Source organism: Homo sapiens, chromosome 4 (genome assembly GCF_000001405.40).
Source record: "Homo sapiens chromosome 4, GRCh38.p14 Primary Assembly".
Lineage (NCBI taxonomy): Eukaryota > Metazoa > Chordata > Mammalia > Primates > Hominidae > Homo > Homo sapiens.
Genome location: NC_000004.12, coordinates 67,701,262 through 67,723,010, shown reverse-complemented (window position 1 = coordinate 67,723,010; position 21,749 = coordinate 67,701,262). Strand labels below are relative to the sequence as shown.

Below are 21,749 nucleotides of genomic sequence, written 5' to 3'. Positions count from 1 at the left end.
GCTTCCAGTTTATAGGCAGATTTAAAAATTTTTTGGTTGACAATTGGTTAAGTTTATCTAAAGACCTGGGATCAATAGAAAGGAAATATCTGGGTTGAAGTAAGAGGTTGTGGAGACCAAAATTTTATGAAACAGATGAAGCCTCCAAGGTAGTCAGCTTCAGAGAGAATAGGTTGTAAAAATTTCTTAGACTTAGGGTTTATGTTGATGTTAATGCTGGAGAGGTATAATGAGGCATGTCCAACCCCTACTTCCCATCATGACCTGAACCAGTCTCTCAGGTTAAATTTTAAGAGCACCCTGGCTGAGGAGGAAGTCCATTCAGATGGTTTGGCTGGCGGGGGGCTTAGAATTTTATTTTTGGTTTACACCATTAGCTCAGAGGCTCATTGATGATATCCCTCAAGTCTGACAAGCGGAGACCTCTTCTGGTGGTGTTACCGCAACTCTGGCCTGAGTTCTTGGCTCACTCATAAGTAAAAATTAACACCAGCGCAAATAGGAATTTATTTCAGGCAAAGTTTAATAGGCTTGTGGCTCTAGCAGCACAACGGAGCAGAGTACAGAAAAGGAGTCCTGATGTTAGCTCCCAAAAGGGCTCTGCTCTTGTCATTTTAAGGAAGTTGAGGCAGGAAAAAGGAGCAACGTGTAGGCAATGTTTAGGCAGGGTCTTCTCTGCACCTACACAGTGAGGTCTCATGCCCAAACATGAGGCACATGTGTCAGAGGCATTTGAACCAGAGTCACTCCATCTTGAATGGGGGCTGGGTAAAATAAGGTTGAGACCTACTGGGCTGCATTCCTGAGAGATTAGGCATTCTTACTCACAGGATGAGACAGGAAGTCGGCACTAAGTACAGGTCACAAAGACCTTGCTGATAAAAAGAAGTGGTAAAGAAGCCGGCCAAAACCAGCCAAAACCCACCAAAACCAAGATGGTAACAAAAATGACCTCGGGTCATCCTCACTGCTCATGCATTAGCATGCTAAAAGACACTCCCACTAGCGCCATGACAGTTTACAAATGCCATGGCAACATCAGGAAGTCACCCTATATGGTCTAAAAAGGGGAGGAACCCTCAGTTCTGGGAATTGCCCACTCCTTTCCCAGAAAACTGCTAAACAAGGAGTAATCAATCCCTTGTTTAGCATATACTCAAGAAGTAACAAGTACAAGCAGCTGAGCAGCCAAAGCCACTGCTCTGCCTATGGAGTAGGCATTCTTTATTCCTTTGCTTTCTTGATGAACTTGCTTTCACTTTACTCTATGGACTCGCCCCGAACTCTTTGTTGCGTGAGATCCAAGAACCCTCTTTTGGGGTCTGGATCAGGACCCCTTTCTGGTAACACATGTACAGAAAATGGCAGATAACCTCCATCTTGGGTGGAGATTTTAGTATTACAATGAGATTGTAGTGAGAAAAACTTGGTGAAAGCTCAGCACTGAAGTTCATCTTGTTGCAAACCAGCTGGATCTGGTCATGTTCTTATCAGGAAGGCCAGAATCCTGCTTCAGTAATCTTGGAACACATAGCTGAAAGAGAGAAATGGTTAGGTTCTTCCTTTTTTGGTTTTATGATTAGGAATCCAGCCTGGTCAGCTAAGTTAGGATGGACCCTCTCTCTGCTACTGTGACTGGGGTTAGCTTGTTAAAACAGACAAGAAGGTATGGAAAAGAATATGCCCACATGTGTAAGGCCCACTAGGATGTTGATTATCTGTCCTGTCTGCCAGGACCAAGTCCCTTCCCTATACTGTCTCAGTGCAGGGGCTGGATGCTTTGTCTGTGGGACTGCTACTCCTTTCTTTTCATAAGTTTATCCTATTGTTGCTGAGCAGCTTAATTGACAAAATGCCTGAAATCAGAGGGATTTCATCTGCCGAAAACTGGTGTCTAACTGTAAGCAAAAGTTGGTTTACGGTGGCAAAAGGAGAATGAAGGGGATCCGAAGGACAAACCTGACTTTGCCTCTCTTCTACCCTCCACCCCACTATCCTCTGGAAGAGAGTTGCCCGGTGTTGGGAGCTCAGGAGTGTCTTCAGAAATCTCTCCACGAAGCTTCCTGCCATCTGTCATGAAATCTCCTCACAAGACCACATCAGGGAACATCTCAAAATCATCCTCAGAACCCTGCACCAATCATGTGCTGATGAGAAGCCGGTGGTGAGCAGTTGTACAAGATCCACAGAGCTTGATGGGAATTTGTCAACCCCCAAATGTTTCTAAAGTTGATCTTATAGATGCTGAAAATGTCACCCTCCCTTTCCGGCCTCTTGTGCCTTGCTCCTGTCATTCGAAGCTGCCCATCTGAAGCCCTCTAGCCTCAACCTGAAGGTTATTGCCATGGATCTGGCCCAGATGCACGCCTGTCAAGGACCTGGAAATGACCTTTACATTGAAGCATCTGCTGCTCTGTGTGCAGGCTCTGATTTCAGTGTGTCAGGAGGACTGCAGTGGGTCCAGCTTGTAGCTCATGGAAGTGCTGGTGATGATAATGGCTGGCTCAGGTGCCACAGGCCTCCATGGCAAGGTTTAGGAGACAATGAACTCGATGGTTGCAGTGGAGAAGTCAATGTCAGCCAGGATTTCTGTGGGAAATACACAGATGTGGTCAACCACATCACACAACGACTGGACTATGTACTCTGCAGAACTTATGCAGCTCAACGTACTTGTCACTCAGGCTCTGTTGTAAAAGAAGTGCCACAACACTTGGTCCCCACACCCAATGCCTATCTCCAGCCAGCCAGAGACCTGCAGATGTGTCTAAAACTTTTTTCCATCCTGTCCAAAGTGCTGCTGAGGCCAAAGGACACCATCACCTCCCAAAGGCAGTTTCACAGCTACCCTGAGACAGTGATAAAGGACATCTGCAAAGGCATGTGGGAGGACAGCCATTGTGTCCTGCCTCTGGGTGCTCCCTAGCTGCAAGGTCCTGTTGGTCAAACAGATACAGGAAGTGTAGTAGGGAATACTGATACCTCAAATTCTGACCACCCTGGAAGAATATTCTCAACTGACTTAGTTAATTCCATGCAAAATTATTATTATTATTATTTTTTTAACAGGAAAATATTCTGATTTTTATTTTTGCACGTTATTCTCAAGTACACAATTACAATAATGTCACACATCCCTATATGATTTTCTTTTTATGTATTTTACTTTCTTTACAAAGTGTACAGAGGGAGGGACATACAATATTTAATAGGATATTTCTACAGAACAATAACTTATATTATGTCCTTGTAAAAATCTGTACCTCTTTAAAACATTTAACTGAAACATCCATTTTTTTTAGCTTTGCTAATCAAAATTGTTTTAAGAATTAAAACTAGGTTGTAACTAATGTCAGTACATAACAGTGACTACAATTTCATTTTCTCTTTATACAGACAAGTATGTTTTATCATATTCACTTGACCAAACCCTTAAATGCCTTTTAAAGGTTTTAATGTTGTGCTTTAAAAAGAAAAGAACTGTGTATGATTCCAGAGTATGTAAGAGAAATATAAAATGTGTGAAGTGTTGTGTTCTTTATCTTTCAGTTTATTTAAAAAAATATAGTTAAATGACCCAATCATTTATATTTTCTGTATTAATTTTATAGGATTTAAAATTAATACATATATTTTTTAAAACCTCTGGTGATGTGATTAATGCAGATAAATTCATTGAGATTTACCCTGAACTCTAAAAACATCTAGATGACATTTTCAACAACATAATAATAGCAGCTGCATCCACCTTAATCACCTGGCTGAAATGCATCAAAAGCACTGATAGATAGTCTTATCATCAAAACAACATTCAATATCTGTATAAGGAACTCCTTGTTCATCTTGATGATTCAGAGAGCGCCATCCAGGAAGCAATTTTAGAGGTCCTTTAAGATGGCGGCATCCTATCCTCAGATCTGATGAGGGAGACTGATGCTGTCATCTACAAGCAGCACTCTGCATTGGCTGGGAGCAGCATCTGTAGCACATGCAGGCCTTGCTGGCCACACAGTGACCAGCATTCTGGGCTGGGAGCATTCAGTGTGATGGCTAGGGGTGGGAACAGACACCAAACACTCATTCTAACCTGGACCAGAATTTGTGTCCTTTAAGCCTCCTAAAAAGAAATTTCATCTTTCTTTGGTTTCTGTCTCCTGAAATTTAATATCTCAGTGAACAGACTAAAAGGAGTTTGAAATCTTAACAATCAATAAAGTTTTTCCCATTTTAACTATCATGGAACTTAAAAAGTTATATAGACATATACATTAAGAGTATTTTTTTTCTTAGGTCAGTAATGCTAACAGTGTTGAAAATAGAGTAACCAGATCTAATTTTGCTTACTCTCTTATAAGTAGCAGTAAAGTAAAATTATATTTTATTTTCTATACCCAAGTGCCTAAAGGACTTTAAGTGAGTATTGTTATCATAAGCTAATATTTATGTTAATACAAAGGGGAAAATGTTGTGTATACTTTCCAACAATCAAATATTAATAATTATGCTTTATTGTTTAAAGATTTAATTTAAAATATTTATTTTTTTTAAGTCTTGGAGAATTATATTTCAATTGTTAGTCTATGATAATTTCTCTTACTGTTCTACATGCAAGTTTTCAAAAATATTCCTAGAAAATGTGATATGCACATAGTCTTAGTCTATTTAGGCTGCTATAACAAACTACACCCTGCTCCCAGCCCCTGGCCAGGGAAGGCGGCCCCTCCCCAGTCACCCCACCTTTCACTCCCACTACAACCAGGAGAAGGTATTCCTGAGCCCTCTCCCACCCTCACCCTGCCTCCCCACTTCCCCGGCTCCAGTCTCTGCCAGTGGAGCCCACTGTGCCAGACAGTTTCAATGCTTTGCAAAGACAAAGACCCCTAAACTGGAGGGAGGAGGAGGAGGAAGAGGAGCGGAGAGAGAAGGAAGAAGCGATGTGAGCTGGGAAGGGGGCGAGTATCCGGGACACTCACACCCTTTTATCTACTCCAAACTCCCTCATGCCCAAATCCCAGAAACTCCAGCGTGTCTCCAGCCATGCTGGTACCATTTTCAGATTTTACCTTCTTTAACTGGAAATGTCAATGAGAGGAAATTAACATCTGCAAGAGCTGCAGTGAGCAAATGCTTTGAGCTTGGGCCAGGACAATTCCATTTGGGGACCTGAGATGGACAGTCACTCAGCCTATGGAGATGAAGAAACTGAGGCTCAGAGAGGTTAAGAGACTCCACTAAAGTCACACAGCCAATGACAGCCAACCTTCTGTGGCCTTCATCAAGCTTGTCATATAACCCACCATGTCTCTGGTGACAGCATGAAAGACAAAGCCCTAATTAAGGATCATCAGAAACCACACTCGGAGGAGGGCGGCAGAGACAGCTTCCCTCCCTGCTATACCAAGACCCTTCCTTCAAGGTCCTCACTCCTCAGAGAGCCTGGACTGTCACAGAGGTTAATTACCTCTTAGCTTCTTCGGATGGGAATGGAAATCACTGGTTAAAGCTTTATCAAGAGACGTTATCAGCTCTTTAAGGATTGCAGAAGAATAGGCTACTTTATTTTCTGAAAAGGAGGGAGTTCCTGCCACCCATTGCAGGGAGGTCGCCATCAGGACAGTGAAGATGGTGACCCTGCGGAAGAGGACCCTGAAAGTGCTCACCTTCCTCGTGCTCTTCATCTTCCTCACCTCCTTCCTGAACTACTCCCACGCCATGGTGGCCACCACCTGGTTCCCCAAGAAGATGGTCCTGGAGCTCTTGGAGAACCTGAAGAGACTGATCAAGCACAGGCCCTGCACTTGCACCCACTGCATCAGGCAGCATGGGCTCTCAGCCTGGTTCGATGAGAGGTTCAACCAGATAGTGCAGCTGCTGCTGACTGCCCAGAACGCGCTCTTGGAGGACAACACCTACCAATGGTGGCTGAGGCTCCAGCAGGAGAAGAAGCCCAATATCATCAACAATACCATCAAGGAATTCAGAGCAGTACCTGGGAATGTGGACCCAATGCTGGAGAAGAGGTCGGTGGGCTGCTGGCACTGTGCTGTCGTGGGCAACTCGGGCAACCTGAGGCAATTGTCATATAGGCCTGCGATAGAGTCACAATTTTATGCTCAGGATGAACAAGGCACCCACGGCAGGGTTTGAAGCTGCTGCCGGGAGCAAAACCGCCCACCATCTGGTGTACCCTGAGAGCTTCCGGGAGCTGGGGGACAATGTCAGCATGGTCCTGGTGCCCTTAAAGACCATGAACTTGGAGTGGGTGGTGAGCACCACCACCACGGGTGCCATTTCCCACACCTACACCCCGGTCCTCGTGAAGATCAGAGTGAAACAGGATAAGATCCTGATCTACCACCCAGCCTTCATCAAGTATGTCTTCGACAACTGGCTGCAGAGCCACAGGCGGTACCCACTCACCAGCATCCTCTCGGTCATCTTCTCAATGCATGTCTGCGATTAGGTAGACTTGTATAGCTTCTGAGCAGATAGCAAAGGGAACTGACACCACTACTGGGAGAACAACCTGTCTGCGGGGTCTTTTCACAAGACGGGGGTGCACGATGCAGGCTTTGAGTCTAACGTGACGGCCACCTTGGCTTCATGAATAAAATCCGGATCTTCAAGGGGAGATGACACAGTGAAGGGTTGAGGATGGATGCACCATCATGCCTCTGCGTTTCCAGCCCCAGCATCTTGCCAGAGCCAGTCCATCCGGGATCTTGGAGGGTCAGCCTCAGGTGTGTGCCCAAGTGCCACTTGCAGCCTCTTGCACCCAGCCGTTGGCAGCATCTACTCAGCAAGGTCACTACCTATCATGGCGGAGCATGTCTCAAAACCTGTCTTGGGTGGGGACAACGTCCCCCGACTGCTGCCCCAGGGCTGGGGAGACGCTGGAAAAGGTTCAACCTCCACATATTAAAATCATTTTGGCTCCTGGGGTGGGATTGGGGAACAAATGTGGAAGACGCCCATATTCTGAGAGACAGCATGGTTTCCCAAGGAAGACTGGCAGAGAAACTTGAGTGGTGATTACCTCCAGCACAGAGAAACGCTGGGCGGTATCCGCGCTGGGGGTGAGATGCTGCCCTTCTTTGCATGAAGCCTGGCCTCTCCCTTGGCGTGATAACCCTGTCATCCCCTTCTTCCCAAAGCTCATTTAAGTGCCACCAGAGGCTTCTACCCCAAAGATTTTCACAGAAACTTGAGGCCAGGTGCCGTGGCTCACACCTGTAATCCCAACAACTTGGGAGGCCAAGGCAGGAGGATCCCTTGAGCCCAGGAGTTCAAGACCAGCCTGGACAACATAGTGAGACTCCTATCTCTACAAAAATAAAATATTTTTTTAAAATTAGCCAGGCATGGTGGCACACACTTGTAGCCCCAGCTACTAGGGAGGCTGAGGTGGGAGGATCTCTTGTACCCAGGAGTTCAAGGCTGCAGTGAGCTGTGATCTCACCAATGCACTCCAGCCCAGAGTGAGACCCTGTCTCTAAAAGAAAGAAAGAAAAAAGGAAAAAAAAACAAAAAACTTGGCACCATGTTTCTAACTCCTGAAGATGCCTCTTCCCAAGCAGCTATTCCTTTGGATAATCAGTCTCATGGCTCTAATCGTGGCAAGAGCAGATCTGACCGCTTCCATATGCCTTTGCATTTGGGGAAGAAAAGCACGTATTGGCTGAAATAAGGCAAAAGCCCCTACTTGGGGAAAGGGATCCCCACCAGTGGCCCCACTTGCTCCGTAGCTGGAAACATCTTTTCTGGTTTCCTGAGCTGGCACCTGAATTAGAACAAAGCTCTGAGGATATTCAGCGCCCCCTAGCAGTGCGTCAGAATGGGACCATACATTCTTTCTCAGACTACTCAATATGGTGCCCTTAACCACCAAGGCCACACAGGAGGCTTCCAGCAGCATTTTCCCCAAGGGCCTGAGCTCAGGGTCAAGTCCCTGCTGGCCACCTTGGGGCTGTCACTGGGGGGCTGGGCCAGGGACATCCCAGGAATGGCGACTGGCACATACCTCATCTTCTCGCTCCCCAACTACTCTCTTTTCCTCGTTAGGCTTCCTGATTATTGATTGATTTTTTAAAAATTCAATTGACATTGTTTGCACTGTGGCTCTGTTGGTGGTCCTGGTGTGTTGGTGGTCCTGGTGTTTTAATGAAGCTTGCCTCACCCAGCAGCTGGGAAATAGGGAGGCTTAAGGAAGGTTTGTAGGAGTCCTTGGACTTGGGATATTGGGGGTATCTAGGGCTTGGATGGTTTGTGGAATGTCCACAGCATCCTCCCATTCCAACCCAACCTTCCTTCTTCCTCACTGTGGACTGGAATTCATTCTCAGGCTAGGAGTCTCCAAAACTCTATGAAACCTTATTGCTGCTGGGTGGGGAGTGAAGAGTGACAGGCATGGTGGGGACAGTGATTGTTGGCTCCAGTTACTAATGTTTAAGCAGAAAAACCACTTTTCTTTAAAAAAAAAAAAATCTCTTAAAAGGCCACTGCTGCCTTGAGGAGGTGTGACCTTTTCCTGGTGGAGTGTGAAGGAGGCATGGGGCCTGTGCTCCCAGGCTCAGGGAAACCCCCTCTGCACACTGGGAGGGAGGAGCTTGGGGACACCAGTCATGGGTAAAGGTCGCTTCAGGCCATTCACAAGAGTCCCTGGAAGTTGCATGCTAAGTTTGTTTTTTTCTCTGAATCTCTGCATATGAGCATTTTTCTGGAGAGAGGTTCCATAGCTTTTATTAGATTCTCAAGGGTTCAGAATGTGGAAAGTGTTAAACAAACAAACAAAAAACCTGTTTCAGCTTTAACATCCTCCAAAACTTTAAGACTTTTTTTTTTTTCTGATAAAGGCTGGTAATCACTGAGTCATCATTCACAACAGACATCCTCGAAGGGCAGAGCTCACAGACATGTATGACATGAAGAATTCAGCAAACGTTTCTTGATTGGCTAGTCAAACACTGATACAAAGAGCGATGCTGTCTCCTGAACTCTTCCTCTTCTCCTAAAAGCTGACTCCATTTAGGGATGACCGGCTCAGGCTGAGCAATCGACTTCTCTGGGTTTTCTTTGAGTAAGAATAGGTCCCTTGAAATGAAGATATGTCTGTGTCTGAGCCGGATGCTGCCTGGGTCGGTCGTCTGCTCTCTGTCTGGTCTCCCTCCGTTCCACTAGGATGGTCAAGCTGTGAGATATCTTCCAGCCCCCAAATCCAGCTCTCCCATTTTACTGATAAGAAAAGCAAGGCCACATTGCAGTTGGGTGGGGAGTGGAGAGTGCCAGGCATGGGAGGACAGTGATTGTTGACTCTAGTTACTGATGTTTAATCAGAAAAACCACCTATCCTGTTAAGCACGTTTCCTAAAAGGCCACTGCTGCATGGGGAGGCGTGGCCTTTTCCTGGTGGAGTACGAAGGAGGGAAGTGACTGGCAATCAGGAACTGGCTGGGACAGATAGCACAAGTCAGAGTTTCAGCAACAACGGGGTGTTCCTGGCACCATGTTTAAATTGTCTGGAGGCGGGCTTTCCCAGCGAGTCTCTATTCAGCATCTGGAAAAAGTGTAACCAGAATGGAGGTGTCTGACTCTCCTCTGCTCTCTCAGCACTGAGCTGTGTCCGCAGGCTGCCTGCATGGCCCTAGGCAAGCTCTTGTCTCTGCCTTCTCACACCCTCCAGTGCAGGAGATGGCATTTCTCTTATGAGACATAAAAGAAGCCCAGCAGACATCTCTTATGTCTCATTGGCTTAGCAATGGGCACTTAACAGAATAAAAGCCAATTGTTGTGGCCAGAACTAAATGCACCAGTTTGGCTTAAACCAAATGCAACCCTGGGGTGAAGGTGGCTGGGAATTAGACAAGAGTGTTAGCCAAAGGGCACCATGCATGCTGTCAGCAGGAGAATGAGGAGCACTCTTGCTGGGCAGGCAGTGGCAGGGGCTCCCTCAGGCCCCTGAATCCCAGCCTAGGGCTCTTTCTACTCTGCAGGCAGAGAGCTCCTTGGAGACCGGCCCTGGGCTCAGGCAGGGAGTAGACGGGTCCCTGCCTGCAGCACCCAGAGCTGAACCTGAAGCCACAAAGATAGGCTGACAAGGTGGCCCATGAAGTGTCAGCAACATCCCAGCCCCCTGGGTCTCCCCAGTGAGTCAGGGTACTGATTTGCTATAGCTGAGCTACATGCCCCTCCCCTCCCCTCAGTCACCTTTTAGGGGAGAAAGGAGGGCAGATTTGTAACCTCCGGTGCTCTGCAGGGATCCTGGGCTGGAAGAAAGTTCATAAATGGATGAATGCCTTTTAAAACTCTGGCTAGTCCTAGCATCATTCAGCAAAGCATTTGGCTAGGCTTAGAGAGAAAAGCCAGATATGAGAAAATAGAATGTAAAATAGAAAAAAAAAGTCAAGAAGGGGGAGAGGGCAGTTAAGATCTGGGTGATTCTTTAGGGAAAGGGCTTGTTGAGAGGTTTTGATGGAATCCCATTCTCTGATGTGGCCAGAAAGCCATGCTAGAGGCCAGTCCCACCTGGATGTGACTCTGGCTTCTTGGCAAAGGTAGAATAAAACCACAGAGAACATTTAGAACAGGGATGTTTGCTTTGAGGTAATCTGAAAACAAGTAACAGAGAAACCAAAAGAACTCACTCTCCCTCACCTGGTTAGGATCAAAACTACTTTATGCAGGGAAGCCCACGCCCTGAGGGGCCACCGTCCAGCTAAAGATCACTGGATGCCAGGCATGTGTCATCAGGAACCAGCACCTGTCCTCGCCCCTATGAAAAGCCCTGGGGGTATCATTATATCCATCATGAACATCTGGTTTGCAGCAAATGTGACTGCATGCCACCAGGATCATCCTGCCCCATGGACTGGGCTAGCTAGTTTTGATATAGAGTCAACCTCCCTCTTCTTGTTTGCCATGAAAACACCAGCTCCTGCACCCCTGGGGTGCTACCTGACACCTGTGCAAAGAAAAGGAGGAAGACTTAGAAGAAAAGGCAGAGACAGGCAAAGCAGCATCTCAGCTTGTCAGGATTAGGATATTACCGATTTTTTTTCTTATCAAAAGAGCACTGAATTTCCTACTGACAGTGAGCCGCCTTTGCACCTCCTGTTCTCCCTCCCAGCCTATCAGGTGATACCATCACCCAGCCTCATCACTCAGCTTCTTCCTAGTACAAAACTGCCATCGGTTGCATGTTCTGAGCTCCGGGATGTCAGATTTAACCATAGCCTGCATCAGGGCCTCCCCGTCCAAGCCCCTGCCTCTTAGGGTGATTATGGGTTTATTCCCTTCCTCCTACACAGTCGTTTCCCTCCACTGAATTCCCTTCAAAACCAAAGTTTCTTGAGCACTTTTTCTTCTGTGCAGTCTTGTGTGTTTGGCTGTTGGTGTTTTAAAATTTGCTCTCTATTCTCCCTTACCTCTCTCCGTGTTGTTGTGAAGCTGAGCACTGGTTGGGATGCATCTGAATGATGTTAGCAAGATCCTGTTTTCCTCATCCCCTGCTCTGTTTTATTTATTGTTGAATATTTCCAATGATCCAAATCAAAGTGAATAAAAAAAGAGCTATTTTATTAAAAAAAAAACTACCATAGACTGGGTGGCTTATAAATGACAGAAACTTATTTCTCACAGTTTTGGAGTTTCGGAAGTTAAAGGTTAAGGCACTGGCAGATTCGGTGTCTAATGAGGGTGCACATCCTAATTTACAGACAGCTGTCTTCTCACCTGCCCATGGCTAAAAAGGCAAGGGAGTTCTCTAAGCTCTCATGTCCCAGAGGCCTCACATGACACTGGGAATTAGGTTTGAACATATGAATTTGGTGGGGATATAAACATTGTGTATGGCACACATATTCTAATTTATAGATAATTTAAGTAGATAATTATTCACATTTATTGAAAGGGTTATTTTCTTTACGATGGAATTCCCTCTGGGTTCTAATTAGTTGCCTCCAACTCATTCAAATGTTACTACAATACCTTTGGGCAAAGAAGCCAGTCTTCAAATGCGAAAGGTCAGCTACTCTCCAACTGTGTTCATGAAGGCCTGATCTCAGGACTCAGTATTTCCTAATCTTTTTGATAGCCACAAAACAGATGTTCCAGTTTTTGAACATAATATGTCTGGCATAATATACTAGAAAAACACTAGATTAGGAAGAAAACTAGGTTCTAGTCTTGACTCTGCATCTACAATTATGTGAATTTATTCAAGCCATTTAATGTCTTTGGGTCATCCTCTGTGAAACAAAGGAGTTGAACATTTAGATGATGGTCAAGCATCCTTTCTGTGCTAATACTCAATAATTCAGGAGTATGGAGTAAAAATAATACATTTTAAAATGTTCTGTAACTATAAAACATTGGCATCCGACACCAGGGAGAGGCCATTTCCTGATGGTCCACACCTATTGCACTAAAGTGTTCATTGAATGCAGATGCCAGTGAGAAGCAACTTCCCGGGCATGTGCATTAAGAGACAAAATGGTAGAACATGAGCTTCCGGGGGCACAACACCAGAAAAGGGAAGAAAGCCTCAAATGGGCATACAAACAACTTTCTAAACACACTGCTTGTGCTCACCTCCCAAGTGTAACGAGGGCACTGCACATCCAGGCATTTCACCTTAAGGGAAGAATTATGGGAAAGGGGTGCAAGACATGGGAAGGAGGGCCAGCCTATAAGGTCCTAGAATCAAGGTTAAACACTGCATTTGACCTTCTCAGTGCCCACTTGGGTCTCTTCCAAGCATACTTTGCTTTCTTTCCTGCTCTAAAGCTTTTTAATAAACTTTTATTCCTGCTCTGAAACTTACCTTGGTCTCTTTTTCTGCCTTATGCCCCTCAGTCAAATTCTTTTTTCTGAAGAGGCAAGAATTGAGGTTGCTGCAGACCCATATGGCCCCGCTGGATTTCGGACTTGCACGAGGCCTGTAGCCCTGTCATTTCGGCCAATTTCTTCCATTTGAAATGGGTGTATTTACCCAATGCCTGTACCTCCATTGTATCTAGGAAGTAACTAACTGGCTTTTGACTTTACAGGCTCATAGGCAGAAGGGACTTACCTTGTCTCAGATGAGACTTTGGACTGTGGACTTTTGAGTTAATGCTGAAATAAGTTAAGACTTTGGGGGAACTGCTGGGAAGGCCTGATTGGTTTTGGAATGTGAGGACATGAAGTTTGGGAGGGGCCAGAGTTGGAATGATATGGTTTGGTTATGTCCCCACCCAAATCTCATCTTGAATTGTAGCTTCCGTAATCCCCATGTATCACAGGAGGGACCTGGTGGGAGATAACTGAATCATTGGATAGATTTTTCCCATGCTGTTCTCATGATAGTGAATACATCTCATGAAATCTGATGGTTATATAAAGGGCAGTTCCCCTGCATATGTGCTCCTACCTGCTGCCATGTAAGATATGCCCTTGCTCCTCCTTCAACTTCTGCCATGATTGTGAGGCCTCCCCAACCATGTGGAACTGTGAGTCCATTAAACCTCTATTTCTTTATAAATTACCCAATCTTGGGTATTTCTTCATAGCAGTAAGAAAATTGACTAATCCACATGCAAATGGAAACCAAATGTGACCAGGAATAGCTATACTTTTATATAATAAAGCAGTCTTTAAGTCAAAAGCAACAAAAAGAGACAAGGTTATTATATAATGATAAAGGGATCAATTTAGAAAGAAGACATAACAATTGTAAATATATATGCATCCAACATTGGAGCACCCTGATATTTAAAGCAAATATTATTACATATAAAGGAAGAGATAGGCTCCAATACAATAAAAGTTGGGGATATCAACACCTTGCTCTTAGCATTTGACAGATCATCTACACAAAAATTAACAAAGAAATATTTAATTTAAACTGCACTTCAGATCAAATGGACCTAATAGACATTTATAGCACATTTCATCCAACAGTCAGAAAATGCACATTCTTTTCATCAGCACATGGAAAATTTTCCAGAATAGACCACGTTAGGCCACAAAACAAGTCTCAAAAAATATAAAAAAATTGAAATCATATCAAGTATCTTTTCTGTCCACAATGAAAACTATAAATCAATAACAAGAAAATCTTTCAAAACTATACAAATGCATGGAAGTTAAACAACATACTCCTGAATGATCAATGGATCAATGTAGATATTAGAAAGGAAATCTAAAAATTTCTTGAATCAAATGAAAATAAAAACATATGATACCAAAACCAATGGAATACAGCAAAAGAATATTGAAAAAAAGCAATATATTGCTATTTATAGCAATAAACACCTGCATCAAAAAAATAGAAAGACTTCAAATAAACCTAACAATGCATTTCAAGGAACTAGAAAAGCAAGAACAAAACAACCTCAAAACTAGTAGAAGAAAATAAATAAAACCAGAGCAGAAATAAAGCAAATTGAGATTAAAAAACAATTACGTAGGCTAACCAAGAAAAAAAAAAAGACCCAAATTTTAAAAATCAGAAATGAAAAAGGAGACATTACCACTGATACCACAGAACTACAAAGGATCATTAGAGACTATTATGAATAACTATATGCCAATAAATTGGCAAGCCTAATGAAAATGGATAAATTCCTGGACATTTACACCTACCAAGTTTGAACCAAGAACAAATAGGAAACCCAAACAGACCAACTACAAGTAATTAAATTGAATTAGTAACAAAAAGTGTCCCATCAAAGAAAAGCCTAGGACCTGGTGGCTTCACTGTTGAATACTATCAAACATTTAAGGAACTAATATCAATTCTTCTCAAACTCTTCAAATTAAAGAGGAGAGGATTCTTTCAACTTATTCTGAGACCAGCATACCCTAATACCAAAACCAGACAAGGACACAACAAAAAAACAAAACTATAGGACAAAACCTATGATGAACATAGATGCAAAAATCCTCAACAAAATACCAGCGAACTGAATCCAGCAGCACATTAAAAAGATTATTCACCATGATCAAGTGGAATTTACCCTAGGGATGCAAGGATGGATTAACATATGAAAATCAATAAACATGATACATCACATCAACAAAACGAAGGACAAAAACCACTTAATTGACTGGGTGCAGTGGCTCATGCCTGTAATCCCAGCACTTTGGGAGGCCAAGGCAGGCAGATCACCTGAGGTCAGGAGTTCGAGACCAGCCTGGCCAACATGGTGAAACCCCATCTCTACTAAAAGTACAAAAATTAGCCAGACGCGGTGACACATGCCTGTAGTCCCAGCTACTTGGGAGGCTGAGGCAGGAGAATTGCTGGAACCCGGGAGGAGGAGCTTGCAGTGAGCCGAGATCATGCCATTGCACTCCAGCCTGGGCAACAGAGCGAGACTCCATCCCAACCTACCCCACCCCCCCCAAAAAATAAAAAAAACCATGACTTAATCATTTCAATAGTTGTTGGAAAAGTATTAATAAAATGCAACACCCTTCATAATAAAAATCTTCTAGGTATAGACTAGGTTTAAAAGAACATAACACAATAAAGGCCATATATGATAAACCCAAGGCTAAGATTATGCTAAATGGGGAAAAGCTGAAAGCTTTTCCTCTAAGAACTAAAATAAGACATGGATATTCATTTTCACCACACTTATTCAGTGTAGTACTGGAAGTTCTAACCAGAGCAATTAGGAAAGAGAAAGAATAAAAGGCATTCAAATTGTAAAGAAGAAAGTCAAATTGTCCCTGTTTGCAGACAACATAATCTTATATAAAGAAAGCTTTTAAAGATTTATCAAAATACTCTTAGAATTGATTTAAAAAAACTCAGTAAAGTGCAGGATACAAAATTAACATACAAAAATGAGTAGTGTTTTTATATATCTACAAGAAACTAGTGAAAACAGAAATCAAGAAAGCAATCTTATTTACAATAAGTTACAAAAAAAGAAACCCTATGATATGGTTTGGCTGTGTCCTCACCCAAATCTCATCTTGAATTGTAACTCCCACAATTCCCACTTGTCATGGGAGCAAGCCAGTGGTAGGTGATTGAATTATGGGAGCAGGTCTTTCCTGTACTGTCCAGTGATAGTGAATGAGTCTCATGAGATCTGATGGTTTTTAAAAGGGGAGTTTCCCTGCACAAGTTCTCTTCTCTTGTCTGCTACCATGTAAGATGTGCCTTTCACCTTCCACCATGATTGTGAGGCCTCCCCAGCCATGCGGAACGGTAAGTCCAATAAACCTTTCTTTTGTAAATTGCCCAGTCTCAGGTACGTCTTTATCAGCAGTGTGAAAATGGAGTAATACACCCTAGAAATAAATGTAACCAAGGAGATGAAAAATTCTTATAAGGAAAATTATGAAACACTGATTAAGGAAATTGAAGAGGTCACACACAAAAAATGAAAAGGTATCACATGCTCACAGACTGGAAGAATTGATATTTTTTAAATGACCACAATGCCAAAAGTCATCCACAGATTCAATGCAATTACTATCAAAATTCCAATGACATTCTTCACAGAAATAGAAAAAAAACTCCTAGCGTTCATATGGAACCACAAAAGACCATGAATAGCCATAGCAATCCTGAGCAAAAAGAACAAAGCTGGAGGCATCACAGTAGACTTCAAAATATACTACAAAGGATTATGGTATTGGTATAAAAACATACACATAGAGCAATGAAACAGGAGAGAACATGTAGAGAATAGAGAAACAAAAGGCATTCAAACTGTAAAGGAGAAAGTGAAATTGTACCTATTTGCAGAAAACATGATATTACACTTTTTAAAAAGTCCTAAAAGCTTCATCAAAGTACTCTTGAAGTTGATAAACAAATTCAGTAAAGTTCAACTTATTTTCAACAAAGGTGTTAAAGACATTCAGTGGGGAAAGGACAGTCTTTTCAATAAATGGTGCTGGGAAAAACTGAATATCCATATGCAGAAAAATGAAATTAGATTGCTATATCTCATCATAGGCAAAAATCAAATCAAAATGCATTAAAGCCTTACTTGTAAGACCTGAACCTATGACACTCCTAGAAGAAAACATTGAGGACATACTTTAGGACACTGGTCTGAGCAAAAATTTTTGGGGTAAGACCTCAAAGGTACAGGCAACCAAAGCAAAAATAGACAAACGGAATTACATCAAGCTAAAATCCTTCCGTAGAGCAAAGTAAACAATCAATACAGAGAACAGACAACCCAGTGAATGGAAGAAAATATTTGAAAACTACTCATACAAGAGATTAATAATCAGAATATATAAGGAACTCAAACAACTCCATAGCAAAAACCCCCAAATAATCCAATTTTAAAATGGGCAAATGATCTAAACAGGCATTTATCAAAAGAAGACATATAAATGGCCAACAGACATATGAAAAAATGCTCAACATCACCAGTCACCAGGGAAATGCAAATCAAAACCACAATAAGACATCATCTCACCTCAGTTAAGATTACTATTACCAAAAAGGCAGAAAATAACAGATGCTGGTGAGGATGTGGCAAAAGGAGAACACTAGTGCATTGCTGGTGGGAACGTAAATTAGTACAGAAACTATGAAAAACAGTATGGAAGTTTCTCAAAAATCTAAAAATAGATCTACCACATGATCCAACAATCCCATTCCTGAGTATACATCCAAAAACGGAATTCAATAAATTTAAAAGGTATCTGCATGCCCATGTTTATTACAGTACTATTCACAATAGCCAAGATATGGAATCAATCTAAGTGTCCATCAACAGATGAATGGATTTTAAAAATGTGTCATCTACACAAAAACATGAAATCATGTAGTTTGAAGCACCATAGATGGAACTGGAGGTCATTATGTTAAGTGAAATGCCAGGCATAGAAAGACAAATAGCACATATTCTCACTCATAAGTGAGAGCTAAAAAAGTGGATCTCATGGCAGTAGAGAGTAGAATGATGGTTACCAGAGGCTGGGAAGGTTGGGGGTAAGGAGGATGAAAAAGGTTGCGTAATGGGTACAAAAATACAATTAGATAGAGGAAACAATTTCTAGTGTTCGATAGCACTAGAGGGTGACTATAGTTAACAATAATTTATCATATATTTCAAAATAGCTAGAAGGCAAGATGTGAAATGTTCCTAACACAAAGAAATAAACAATGTTTGAGGTGATGGATATCACAATTACCTTGGTTTTATCATTATACCTTGTACGCAAATATCAAAATACCCCATAAATATATGCTTATTATGTATGTATTAATTTAAAAAGGAAATAAAACCATAATATTGCTGAACATTACACAAAAGCAACAGAAAAGGGAATTCTCTGAAATTAGAAAAGTTTTCCCAAAACCTGTGAGAAAGCAAATAAGCATAGAATAAGAAAGTAAAAATCTGCTTTGCCATTCATCAGCTATGGGATAACAGGCATAAATAAAGCCAGCTGTGAAATTAACAGAAAATACTATTTCTCTCTGGAAGATGCTTTAAAATGTCTCAAACACACACACACACACACACACACACACACACACACACACACCCTTAGAGTAACTGATTTTTTACTCACACAATGCCCTTTTCTCTAAAATCATAGAACATTTATGACAATATCAAAAGATTGTCAAAAACTCTGCTGTTTAAATCCTATTATTAAGATTGAAATATCTCACTCTTGGCTAGAATATCTAAAGTCACATTGACACAGAGAAATAGTTTCTACTTCTGAGAGGCAGAACTTTGCAATTTCCAAAAAACAGAACCCTGGGTCCATCTTGTATTACGTTGGTGCAAAAGTAATTGCAGTTTTTGCCATTAGTAATAGTTTAGATGTAGTGTAGAATTCTTTACAAACAGCCTTGCTTTCTTTTGAGTCTATCAAAGCACTACTTCATTTCAATTCCTTCTAAACTCCATACTTCCCCAAATTCCTACAATAAATCTATCTCTTCCTCTGTTGGTGAGGTACCCCATGGTTCTTCTGGAATGTGGGCTCCCTCCTTGCAATGAGCCAGTAAACCTGATGATATGGTCTGCTCTGTGTCCCCACCCAAATCTCACTTCAAATTTTAATTCCCATGTGTGCAAGGAGAGACCTGGTGGGAGGTGATTAGATTATGGGGGCAGTTCCCCCATGCTATTCTTGTGATAATGAGGGAGTTCTCATGAGATCTGATGGTTTTAAAAGTGGCAGTTTTCCCACGATCTCACTTCTCTCCTGCCACCGTGTAAGATATGTCTTGCTTCTCCTTCACCTTCTGCTATGATTTAAGTTTCCTGAGGACTCCCCAGCCATGTGGAACTGTGAGTCAACTAAATCTCTTTCCTTTATAAATTACCCAGTCTCGGGTATTTCTTTATAGCAGTGTGAAAACAGACTAATATACCTGACTTTCTTGGAATACAGTTTTGTTCCTGATAAACTTAGGCTTATTGGGCTAAGAAGCCTGTCTCATATTAGTTCAGGAACACCAATTTCACATAAAAATGAGCAATAACTCACGCCTGTAATCCCAGCACTTTGGGAGGCCAAGGGGTGGATCACGAGGTCAGGAGATCGAGACCATCCTGGCTAACACGGTGAAACCCCGTCTCTACTAAAAATACAAAAAATTAGCCGGGCGTGGTGGCAGGTGCCTGTAGTTCCAGCTACTCGGGAGGCTGAGGCAGGAGAATGGCGTGAATCCGGGAGGCAGAACTTGCAGTGAGCCAAGATCCCGCCACTGCACTCCAACCTGGGCAACAGAGCAAGGCTCTGTCTCAAAAAAAAAAAAAAAAAAAAAAAAAAAAGAGCAACAAAAAAAGCATCAAGTTCAAATCCATGCAGTTATTATGTGAAGAGAATAAGGAATATAACATCATCATCAAAGATAATAAAAACATGCCTGAAAGATGCACTACAAAACAATTTATTATTTTGAAACTAGCTAAATGACATTAGAGAAATGATAAAAGATATGGAAGAACTTGATTCTGAATTAGAAAAACCTCAGAAATGAGGTGACAGAACTCAGGAGAATTAGTAATAAAGAATAAACTACAAGAAACACAAAAGCTAATAAATGCAACAGATTATGATTTGCTGTAAAGAAACCGAGTCAATCCTTAGATCAATGTTTCTGTAATAATTCTGATTGTCAGACACTTTCTCCAATTAATTATTAAGGAGGGGCTCATGAAAACACTAGTCTCACCAAATTGATATATCAATTGTTGATAACAGTTTGTACCTTTTGTATATTAGTTTTGCTGAATGTAAAATCTTTGGCCTACATATTTTTCCCTTAAGTTTCCTCAATATGTCATTCTACTTTCTTATGACATAAAGCCTCACTGTCAAAAAGCTGTGATCGCCTAGTTTTCTTTCCCATTTTACATATGTGACAAAACATTAAAATCTGTTAAATCTGGTTGCTTGTTACATGCCTGAAATAATTCACACCATATTTTATCAAATCTAACATGCCCTCAATTTTAAGATGCATCGTTTTCTGTATTTATTTTTTAAAAATTCATCCTCTATTCATGGATGTTAAAATATGAAGAAGCGTGGGTAATGGCAGGCCATTGTTTTGGCCTAGCCTTCTACACTAGGCCCCATCAGATCAAACCAGAATGGAGTTGCTTGTGCTAAGCACCATGTAATTAAAGTGGATTTTGAAAAAATGAGCCAGTTTTTTTTAAAAAAACAGGAGATTCTAGTTAACCTAGTGGGCATAATAAGGAAGTATGCTCTGTTTTAACCTTTACAAGGAAAGAAACTTTGAAATAATCTGATTTTTGTTCTGTTTCTGCTTTCTTCAATCTTTTTCATTATCTTCAGTCCTGTAGCATTATCTTAGTGCTAGAGCAGAGCCTTGAAAGAATAGAACACAGATCAAGAACATTTTAATGTGGAAAAGGTTCACAACTGGATTGAGGAACACGGATAATGCTATAGGTGAGCAACATAAAGCTTCCAGGTATTTTAAGATGTGCAATTTTGAAGAGAATAGAGGGCACGAAGGATAATACAGTTTTGCCTGGACCCTCATCTCCATATGAGAGGAAAAATTTCTAATTAAAAATATGATACATCACAGAAAATTACATAATACCCAAAGTATATGCTAATTTTAAAAATCCTGCAGATGTTTATTCAAATATACAGTGTTATTTAGTGAAAGACAAATCCTAATGTTATTGTGTCCAACTCATTTTTGCTTTCTAAGAAAGGTGACACGGAAGTAAATGAAAAAGAATTATATGAGAACTTTTTAGATATGTGTTCTGGTAATCTAACAGTGACTAGCTCTATAACCTTGACCAAGTCACTTGCACTGACCGGAAGTTCCTTTCCCTTACCCACAAATTTAAGGGACCAAACTGGATGATCTAACGACATCTATGGCACTAAAAGTCACATGATTCTATTAAATCTGAGGCAGCGCCTCACATGTAGTGGACTCCCAAAATTATTTATTAAATGTATAACATCTTTAAGTGGTATCCCCTCACTGACAATCTGGAGCTATTAGCAGCCTTCAGTTTATTTATAAAATAAAGCTGTTTCCTCTTCTTACCGTTAAGACTCTTTTAAGGATTTGCAACGCTATCCCATCATTTCGCGGGTTACTAGAGTCCTGCATGTTTGGCTGTAGAGCAAGGGTGACGCGTAACTTCTGGACTTTGGTTCCATCTACATCTGCCGGATGCGGATGCCAGTCGCAACAGTAACGCCCCCTTCGGCCACCTGCACCACAGCACGCCATGCGGCCACACCCAAACCGGAAACCAGGACGCCCC

The 21,749-nt window shown here is 42.0% G+C and overlaps 1 long non-coding RNA gene and 2 pseudogenes across 1 annotated transcript, besides 4 other annotated features; 2 read left to right on the top strand and 1 right to left on the bottom strand.

Annotated features, from left to right (window-relative positions):
• Positions 313 to 1,512: an enhancer, noted in NCBI's record as "BRD4-independent group 4 enhancer chr4:68587217-68588416 (GRCh37/hg19 assembly coordinates)". NCBI's record gives its function as "activates an origin of replication core promoter dependent on BRD2, P300/CBP, MED14 and CDK7 cofactors, and independent of BRD4, by STARR-seq in HCT116 cells {active_cell/tissue: HCT116}" and the evidence as "EXISTENCE:reporter gene assay evidence [ECO:0000049][PMID:35650434]".
• Positions 313 to 1,700: a biological region, named in NCBI's record as "BRD4-independent group 4 enhancer GRCh37_chr4:68587217-68588416".
• Positions 506 to 21,733, bottom strand: UBA6-DT (UBA6 divergent transcript). Its single transcript, NR_015439.1, has 2 exons — positions 21,527 to 21,733; positions 506 to 2,589 (listed from the first exon to the last, which is right to left on the bottom strand). It is a non-coding gene; the product is annotated as a UBA6 divergent transcript (long non-coding RNA).
• Positions 1,406 to 1,700: a silencer, noted in NCBI's record as "tiled region #4539; HepG2 Repressive non-DNase unmatched - State 15:Elon". NCBI's record gives its function as "represses a minimal TATA promoter and a strong SV40 promoter by Sharpr-MPRA in HepG2 cells {active_cell/tissue: HepG2}" and the evidence as "EXISTENCE:reporter gene assay evidence [ECO:0000049][PMID:27701403]".
• LOC100419862 (dynein, axonemal, assembly factor 5 pseudodgene) lies at positions 1,770 to 4,012 on the top strand (annotated as a pseudogene).
• ST3GAL1P1 (ST3GAL1 pseudogene 1) lies at positions 5,424 to 6,833 on the top strand (annotated as a pseudogene).
• Positions 8,616 to 8,665: an enhancer, noted in NCBI's record as "active region_21598". NCBI's record gives its function as "activates an Ori minimal core promoter by ATAC-STARR-seq in GM12878 lymphoblastoid cells {active_cell/tissue: GM12878}" and the evidence as "EXISTENCE:reporter gene assay evidence [ECO:0000049][PMID:35858748]".